Consider the following 10,002-nt stretch of genomic DNA (forward strand, 5'->3'; position numbering starts at 1 on the left):
ATAGACTAGAAATAGCCTAGTCTGTTCTACGAAATAGACTAGAAATAGTCTGTTCTCCGAAATAGACTAGAAATAGCCTAGTCTGTTCTACGAAATAGACTAGAAATAGCCTAGTCTGTTCTACGAAATAGACTAGAAATAGCCTAGTCTGTTCTACGAAATAGAGTAGAAATAGCCTAGTCTGTTCTACGAAATAGACTAGAAATAGCCTAGTCTGTTCTACGAAATAGACTAGAAATAGTCTGTTCTACGAAATAGAAGAGAAATAGTCTAGTCTCTTCTACGAAATAGACTAGAAATAGTCTGTTCTACGAAATAGACTAGAAATAGTCTGTTCTACGAAATAGACTAGAAATAGTCTGTTCTACGAAATAGACTAGAAATAGTCTGTTCTACGAAATAGACTAGAAATAGTCTGTTCTACGAAATAGACTAGAAATAGTCTGTTCTATGAAATAGAAGAGAAATAGTCTGTGATATCACCAGAATTTCTTTGTCTCACAGCCACGGAAATCAAGGACTTGGATGCACTAAGAGTGAGGTTACAGGCCGGGCGCGGTGGCTCACACCTGTAATCTTAGCACTTTGGGAGGCTGAGGTGGGCAGATTGTCTGAGCTGAGGAGTTCGAGACCAGTCATGGCAAAACTCCATCTTTACTAAAATACAAAAAACAAAAAAAAATTCGCCAGGCGTGGTGGCATGAGCCTGTAAATCCCAGCTACTCAAGGCGCTGAGGCAGGAGGATCAGTTGAGCCTGGGAGGCAGAGGCGCGGTGGCTCATGCCTATAATCCCAGCACTTTGGGAGGCCGAGGCGGGCGGATCCCCTGAAGTTGGGAGTTCGAGACCATCCTGGCCAATATGGAAAAACCCCGTCTCTGCTAAAAACACAAAACTAGCCAGGCGTGGTGGTGGGTGCCTGTAATCCCAGCTACTCCGCAGGCTGAGGCAGGAGAATCGCTTGAACCCAGGAGGCGGAGGTTGCGATGAGCCGAAATCGCGACCCTGCACTCCAGCCTGGACAACAAGAGCGAGACTCCATCTCAAAAAAATTAAATAAATAAATAAATGAAACAAAAAACCACCTGCGTTTCTAAGGGAGCAGAGTGCAGGCAAAAGAAAAAGAAGGGGGGGGGCCGTACCGCAGTAAAATGTAAGGGTTTTTATAAATGAGCTAGTGGGCAGGAGGTATCTTAGCTACATAGGGCACAAAAAACCGGTTAGGACCAGGTGTGCCATCTGCATAGGGCTGAGTCTGTGCATACGGCTGAGTCTCCCCACCCCACTCTTTCATCACACAGGCATCTTCGTAGCTTGAGCTACTCCACGTTGACTATCTCCTTCCACCGTGTGCTAAAAAGGGGAGGGGGAGTTTCCGTGCCTGGCCCCTGGTACCTCCTTGCAGCTGCCAGGCATCCCCCTGCCAACCCATGCCAACCTCCCTATCTTCATGTACCCGAAAAAGGGAAAGGAATAGGCTTACCATTATTTTTATTTATGAATAATAAAGCACTGTGCATTTCAGAATTGCTCAGAGTAGGTTTTCCTACTTTCCCTATCTCGGTGAGCTCTGTCTTAGATTTTTCCTACCTGAGTGTGTCCAAAAAATGGAAAGAAATGTGCTCAGTCAGGCCCCCTGTCTTTACTGGGACCTGTAGTACATAGGTGAAGTTTGGTGATGACCTAGGAAATGAGAGCCTAACTATCCACCTAAATAATTTTTTTCTTTTTCTTTTCTTTTCTTATTATTTTTTGAGATGGAGACTCGCTCTGTCGCCCAGGCTGGAGTGCAACGGTGCGATCTTGGCTCACTGCAACCTCCGCTTCTTGGGTTCAAGCGATTCTCCTGCCTCAGCCTTCCAAGTAGCTGGGATTGCAGGTGCGTGCCACCATGCCAGGCTAATTTTTCTACTTTTAGTACAGACGGGGTTTCACCATGTTGGTCAGGCTGGTCTCGAACAGGTCTGTGCTGGACCTGCTTTTCTGTAACTTACGGCTCCATCTTCCAGGCTGCTCTTTGTTAGAAGAGAAGTGATTTCTTTGAGTGGCGTGTGGTTAGAAAGGAAGCAATTTCTCAAGCTGCCTTTTTTTTTTTTAGATGGAGTCTCGCTCTGTCGCCCAGGCTAGATTGCAGTGGCACAGTCTCGGCTCACTGCAACCTCCGCCTCCCGGGTTCAACCGATTTTCCTGTCTCAGCCTCCTGAGTAGATGGGATTACAGGTACCCGCCATCACACACAGCTAATTTTTTTTTTTTTTTTTTTTTGCATTTTATTAGAGATGGAGTTTGGCCTTCCAAAGTGCTAGGATTACAGACATGAGCCACCGTGGCCACGAGCTGCTTTTTGCTAGAAGGAAACTTTTTGCCGGGGGCCCTTTCACCCTAACTATCCACCTAAATAATTTCTTTTTTCTTTTTCTGTCATTTATTATTTATTTATTTATTTATTTATTTATTTATTTATTTATTTTTTGAGATGGAGTTTCACTCCGCCGCCCAGGCTGGAGTGCAATGGTGCGATCTTGGCTCACTGCAAGCTCCACCTCTCTGGTTCAAGCAATTGTCCTGCCTCAGCCTCCCAGGTAGCTGGGATAACAGGTGTGCGCCACCATGCCAGGCTAATTTTTCTACTTTTAGTACAGACGGGGTTTCACCGTGTTAGCAAGAAATTACACAGAGGCCAGTCGTGGTGGCTCACGCTTGTAATCCCAGCACTTTGGGAGGCTCAGGCAGGCGGATCACCTGAGGTCGGGAGTTTGAGACCAGCCTGACCAACATGGTGACTCTTGTACTTGGGCCAAATCAATCCTCTTCTGTCAACTTAAGAAAGAGAGAGGCAGGCGTGGTGGCTCACGCCTGTAATCCCAGCACTTTGAGGAGGCCGAGGCGGGCAGATCACTTGAGGTCAGGAGTTGGAGACCAGCCTGGGCAACATGGTGAAACCCCCATCTCTACTGAAAATACAAAAAAATTAGCTGGGCGTGGTGGCGCGCACCTGTAATCCCAGATCTTTGGGAGGCTGAGGCAGGAGAATCGCTTGAACCTGGGAGGAAGAGGCTGTAGTGAGCCGAGATTGCACCACTGTACTGCCAACATGGTGAAAACCTGTCTCTATTGAAAATGCAAAAAATTAGCTGGGCGTGGTGGCGCGCGCCTGTAATTCCAACTGTTTGGGAGGATGAGGCAGGAGAAGCACTTGAACCTGGGAGGCGGAGGTTGCAGTGAGCCCAGATCATGCCACTGCACTCCAGCCTGGGTGACAGAGCAAGACCCCATCTTGGGAAAAACACACACACACACACACACACACACACACACACACACACACACGAAAGAGAGAAAGATGAAGAGCACATGGTCTCACTGCTATGTGGAATCTAAAAAAGTCAAACTCACAGAAGCAGAGTAGAAGGGTGGGTAGCAGAGACTAGTGGAGGTCACGGGGAGAGATGTTGGTCAGATAATTCAGTTTTGGTTAGACAGGAGGAATAAGGTCTGCACAACTATTGCACAGCACGGTGACATAATTAATAATAAAACACTGCATTTCCAAATTGTTCCGAGTAGGTTTTATTTTTGTTAATTAATAATAAAGCACTGTGCATTTCAAAATTGTTCCGAGTAGGTTTTATTTTTGTTAATTAATAATAAACCACTGTGCGTTTCAGCATTGTTCAGTATAGGTTATTTTTATTTTTGTTAATTTATAATAAAGTACTGTGCATTTCAAAATTGTTCAGAGTAGGTTTTATTTTTATTTTTGTTAATTAATAATAAAACACTGTGCATTTCAAAATTGTTCAGTGTAGGGCCAGACGCGCTGGCTCATGCCTGTAATCCCAGCACTTTGGATTATCTGAGGTCAGGAGTTCAAGACCAGCCTGGCCAACGTGGTGAAACCCTGTCTCTACTAAAAATACAAAAATTAGCTGGGTGTGGTGGTGCTTCACCTGTAATCCCATGTACTAGGGAGGCTGATGCACGAGACTCGCTTGAGCCCGGGAGATGGAGGTTGCAGTGAGCCCAAATCACGCCACTGCACTCCAGCCTGGGTGACAGAGTAAGACTCTGTCTCAAAAAAAAAAAAAATTGTTCACAATACGTTTTATATATATTTTTAATACTAAAGTACTGTGCATTTCAAAATAGCTCAGAGTAGATTTTATTTTTAGTTTTATTTTTGTTAATAATAAAGTACTGTGCGTTTCAAAATTGTTCAATATAGGTTTTAATTTTATTTTTGTTAATAATAAATCACTGTGCATTTCAAAATTGTTCAGAGTAAGGCCAGGCGAGATGGCTCATGCCTGTAATCCCAGAACTTTGGGAGGCCAAGGTGAGTGGATCGCCTGAGGTCAGGAGTTCGAGACCAGCCTGGCCAACACAGTGAAACCCCATATCTACTAAAAATACAAAAATTAGCTGGGTGTGGTGGTGGGTGCCTGTAATCCCACCTACTCGGGAGGTGGAGGCAGGAGAGTCGCTTGAGCTCGGGAGGCGGAGGTTGTACTGAGCCGAGATAGTGCAACTGCACTCCAACCTGGGCCACAGAGTGAGACTCCATCTCAAAAAAAAAAATGTTCACAGTAGGTTTTATATATATATTTTTAATAATAAAGTACTGTGCATTTCAAAATCGTTCAGTATAGGTTTTATTTTTAATTTATTTTTGTTAATAATAAATTATTGTGCATTGCAAAATTGTTCAGGGTCGGTTTCATTATTGTTTTTAATAATAAAGTACGGTGCATTTCAAAATTGTTCAGAGATTTTATTTTTATTTTTGTTTAATAATAAAGTATTGTACCTTTCAAAATTGTTCAGAGTAGATTTTTATTTTTGTTAATTAATAATAAGGTACTGTGCCTTTCAAAATTGTTCAGAGTAGATTTTATTTTTATTTTTGTTAATAATAAAGTACTGTGCATTGCAAAATTGTTGAGAGTAGAGTTTTTTTATTTTGGTATGCTTTTGTGTTTTCTTGTTTTGTACAAATTTAGGGGTTCCATGAGAAATTTTGTTACATGTATAAAACGTGTAGTGATCTAGGTATTCAGGGCATCCATCACCTGAATACAGTATTTTTGTGTTAAGTCTATACACCTTATTCTGCTATGGAACCCCAAATGTATTCCTTGTATCTATTTTTTTTTTTTTTTTAGATGGAGTCTCCCTCCGTCACCCAGGCTAGAGTGCAGTGGCGCGATCTCGGCTCACTGCAACCTCCGCCTCCCGGATTCAAGCGATTCTGCTTCCTCAGCCTCCTGAGTAGCTGGGACTGCAGGCGCCCACCACCACACCCCGCTAATTTTTGTATTTTTAGTAGAGATGGGGTTTCACCATGTTGGCCAGGATGGTCTCAAACTCCTGACCTCAGGTGATCCGCCTGCCTCGGCCTCCCAAAGTGCTGGGATGACAGGCGTGAGCCACCGCACCTGGCCATTCCTCGTATCTTAATGTATGTGTGCAGCCTTTAACCCACCTCTCTGCATCCTCCTCCCTCCGTCTCTCTCACCCTTCTCGGGCTCTGTTATCTATTTTTCCCCCTAAGTGTTTAGCACTTACCTAGGAGTGAGAACGTGCGATATTGGTCTTTCTGTGCCTGGCTTCTTTCTCTTGACATAATGGCCTCTGATTCCATCCATGTTGCAGCAGCCAACAGGATTTCCTTCACTCTTACAGCTCAAGAGTTTTCCCCTTTGTTTATACCCTACGTTTTCCTTCTCCAGTCATCTGTTTTGTTGTTGTTGTTTTGAGAAGGAATCTCCCTCTGTCACCCCAGGCTGGAGTGCAGTGGCATGATCTCGGCTCACTACAGCCTCTGCCTCTCAGGTTCAAGTGATTCTCCTGCCTCAGCCTCCAGAGTACCTGGGATTACAGGCACCTGCCACCACGCCCAGCTAAGTTTTGTATTTTTAGTAGGGACAGGCTTTCACTGTGTTGGCCAGGCTGGTCTCGAACTCCTGACCTCAGGTGATCCACCCACCTCAGCCTCCCAAAGTGCTGGGATTACAGGCGTGAGCCACCGTGCCAGGTCCTTATCCTATAATCTTTCCTTTTTTTTTTTTTTTTTTTTTTTTGAGACAGAGTCTCACTCTGTGACCCAGGCTGGAGTGCAGTGGCGCGATCTCGACTCACTGCAGCCTCCGTCTCCCAGTTTCAAGCGATTCTCCTGCCTCAGCCTGGAGTATCTGGGACTACATGTGCCCACCACCACATCTGGCTAATTTTTGTATTTTTAGTAGGGATGGGGTTTCACCATGTTGGTCAGGCTGGTCTCGAACTCCTGACCTCAAGTCATCCGCCCACTTCGGCCTCCCAAAGTGGTGGGGTGACAGGCGTGAACCACCGCGCCCAGCCCCATTCACGTGTTGATGGACTCTTGGGTTGATTCTATGTATTTGCTATTGTGAACAGTCCTGCAATAAACAGATGATATTTTTTTTCTTTTTTCTTTCTTTCTTTCATTTTTTTTTTTTTGAGAGGGAGTCTCGCTCTGTCGCCCAGGCTGGAGTGCAGTGGTGCGATCTCAGCTCACTGCAAGCTCCGCCTCCCGGGTTCACGCCATTCTCCTGCCTCAGCCTCCCGAGTAGCTGGGACTACAGGCACCCGCCACCACGCCCGGCTAATTTTTTTATTTAGTAGAGATGGGGTTTCACCGTGTTAGCCAGGATGGTCTCGATCTCCTGACCTCGTGATCTGCCTGCCTCGGCCTCCCAAAGTGCTGGGATTACAGGCGTGAGCCACCGCGCCAGCCTAAACGTAGGATTTTAAATGCGTGCACCACCCACACACACACACACAAAAGAAAAGTAGGTGAGGTGAGGGATATGTTAATTGGCTTCATGCAATTATCCCATGATGTGTACATATATCAAAATTTCACACTGTACCCTACAAATACATGCAATCATTGTTTGTCCCTTAAAAATTAAATTTTCCAAAGGAAGGAGACCAACAGTGGCTTCTGAAGTCGAGGACAGAGCGAGGCTTTGCCCCCTCGGTAAAACATGAATAACGGGAAATGGAATTTTAAATGTCACCGCAGGAGGAATTTACTCATTCAGGGCCGGGGGCTTCCTCGGACGTCATAAAATCATCTTCAGCTGATGGGAATATAATGACAGCCAGCATTATCAGCAGAGAACGGCAGCTTTGAGTGTCTTTATATATTCATTGTTGTCAGTATCAGGGTTCAGAACCCGGCAGGTGGAGGTTGTGGTGAGCCGAGATCACGCCACTGCACTCCAGCCTGGGCAACAAGAGCAAAACTCCATCTCAAACAAACAAACAAACAAAAAATACAAACAGCCCAGCTAAGGTGACCTATGAAATGCAGACATTGATAATCAAGACATATGCATTTTTATTTTTTTTTAAATTTGTATTGTATTTATTTCTTCTTTTTTGAGATGGAGTCTCTCTCATTCTGTTGCCCAGGCTGGAGTGCAGTGGCGTGATCTTGGCTCACTGCAACCTCCGCCTCTTGGGTTCAAGTGATTCTCCTGCCTCAGCCTTCTGAGTAGTTGGGGTTACAGGCACCCGCCACCGCATCCGGCTAATTTTTGTATTTTTACTAGAGACAGGGTTTTGCCATGTTGACCAGGCTGGTCTCGAACTCCTGACCTCATGATCCACCCACCTCGACCTCCCGAAGTGCTGGGATTACAGGCGTGAGCCACTGCGCCCGGCCTATTTCTTGTATTTTGAGACGGAGTCTTGCTGTGTCGTCCAGGCTGGAGTGCAGTGGCATGATCTTGGCCCACTGCAACCTCTGCCTCCTGGGTTCAAGCGATTCTCCTGCCTCAGCCTCCCGAGTAGCTGGGGTTACAGGCGCCCGCCACCACATCTGGCTAATTTTTGTATTTTTACTAGGAACAGAGTTTTGCTGTGTTGGCCAGGCTGGTCTTGAACTCCTGACCTCGTAATCCACCCACCTTGACCTTCCAAAGTGCTGGGATTACAGGTGTGAGCCACCATGCCCAGCTTATTTCTTCTTTTTTGAGACAGAGTCTCACTCTGTTGCCCAGGCTGGAGTACAGTGGTGTGATCTTGGCTCAGTGCAACCTCTGCCTCCTGGGTTCAAGCCGTTCTCCTGCCTCATCCTCCCAAGTACCTGGGGTTACAGGCACCCACCACCACACCACCTAATTTTTGTATTTTTACTACGGACAGGGTTTTGCCATGTTGGCCAGGCTGGTCTTGAACTCCTGACATCCGGTGATCTGTCCGCCTTGCCCTCCTAAAGTGCTGAGATTACAGGCATGTGCTACCATAACTGATTAATTTTTGTATTTTTAGTAGAAATAGGGTTTCCCCATGTTGGCCAGGCTGGTCTCGAACTCCTGACCTCAAGGGATCCACCCACCTCAGCCTCCCAAAGTGCTGGCATTACAGGCGTGAGCTACCGCACCCGGCCGATATATGCATTTTTACTAAAAAAAAAAAAAAAAAAAAGGTTGAAATGTTGAAATATGCATCCATTCCCTTGGCCTCCTGGATGAGAAGTCACAGGTAGAAAAAGGATGGGAGATGCAAATCACGCACAAAACTGTCAGCAACAACAACAACAAAAATGTGCTGTCACGTCCCCAGAGCGGCCTCAACACAAATCCGAGCATCTGGGGTTTCTGGAATCTGGACTCTGATACATTGTTGCGTTTCCCCTGCTAGCAAATGACAATGGTATCCTGCAGGGTGGAAAGAGTGAGAGAGGCGGGCAGTCCCCGGCTGTTTAAAATAAGAATGTCGGTGCGCCAGGAGGACGGGATACATTCTTTTCCTGAGAGCAGTAAGGGTTCAAGTGTAAGAAGCCAGTAATTATCCTGGGGGAAGCGAGAATCGTCAGGGGAGTAGGGGCAAAGAGCCGAGATGGTATCGATGGTGATGAAAACGCCGGCGTATTCGTGAACACCCTGCCTTACCCACGGGGCCCTCTTGCATTCGGCTGAGGGGATAATTACAAATAATGAGAAGCCTCTGATCTCAATGCATTTACGGCTTTGGCGTTTGCGAAAGGAAGAGAGGAGTGTGAAAAATAACCTATTTTACTATGAATGAGACAAAGTAAGATTTCAGGACAAAAGACACCAGCCAAGAAAGGGGGAATGTTAATCCTTGTCCCAGACCCTTTTATAAAAGTTATCCTTGATCCAATAATTAATGTATTTGATTTGGCTCAAAGAGACAAGGGTTAAAATTAGAAAAAAAAAAAAAAAAAAAAAAAAAGAAAGGCTTGCTAAGATGTGAGAAGAAAATGAGAGAAGGAATTTATAGTCATCAAAGTGGGATACATTTGTCCATGGCGTATATGAAGTCAAAATGGAAATTCAGATCAGAAACCCACATCTTCTGGCCAGGCATGGTGGCTCATGCCTGTCATCCCAGCACTTTGGGAGGCTGAGGCAGGGAGATCACTTGAGATCAGGAGTTCAAGACCAGCCTGGCCAACATGGTGAAACCCCATCTCTACTAAAAATACAATAATTAGCCCGGGCGTGGTGGCTCACGCCTATAATCCCAGCACTTTGGGAGGCCAAGGCAGGTGGATCACCTGAGGTCGGGAGTTCGAGACCAGCCTGGCCAACATGGTGAAACCCCATCTCTACTAAAAATACAAAAATTAGTCCGGGCATGGTGGCTCATGCCTATAATCCCAGCACATCGGGAGGCCAAGCAGATGGATCACCTGAGGTTGGGAGTTCGAGACCAGCCTGGCCAACATGGTGGCCCTTCTTTACTAAAAATACAAAAATTAGCCGGGTGTGGTAGCACGTGCCTGTAATCCCAGCTACTCGGGAGGCTGAGGCCAGAGAATCGCTTGAACCTGGGAGGCAGAGGTTGCAGTGAGCTGAGATCATGCCACTGCACTCCAGCCTGGGAGACAGAGCAAGACTCTGTCTCAAAAAAAAAAAAATTCATCTCATGGACTAAACAACTTCTCTGAATCCAGGTACATTTAGGTTTTTCTTGGAACGAAGCAAGTTAACCTTTTCAGACTATT

General features: G+C 45.8%; 2 annotated features.

Moving 5' to 3' along the window:
• Positions 447–947: an enhancer, noted in NCBI's record as "H3K4me1 hESC enhancer chrX:2035872-2036372 (GRCh37/hg19 assembly coordinates)". NCBI's record gives its function as "activates a minimal SCP1, AML or CMV promoter by ChIP-STARR-seq in naive H9 embryonic stem cells {active_cell/tissue: H9 hESC(naive)}" and the evidence as "EXISTENCE:reporter gene assay evidence [ECO:0000049][PMID:30033119]".
• Positions 8,333–9,041: an enhancer, noted in NCBI's record as "OCT4-NANOG-H3K27ac hESC enhancer chrY:1993758-1994466 (GRCh37/hg19 assembly coordinates)". NCBI's record gives its function as "activates a minimal SCP1, AML or CMV promoter by ChIP-STARR-seq in naive H9 embryonic stem cells {active_cell/tissue: H9 hESC(naive)}" and the evidence as "EXISTENCE:reporter gene assay evidence [ECO:0000049][PMID:30033119]".

The sequence above is a fragment of the Homo sapiens genome, chromosome Y (genome assembly GCF_000001405.40).
Source record: "Homo sapiens chromosome Y, GRCh38.p14 Primary Assembly".
Taxonomy (NCBI): Eukaryota; Metazoa; Chordata; class Mammalia; order Primates; family Hominidae; genus Homo; species Homo sapiens.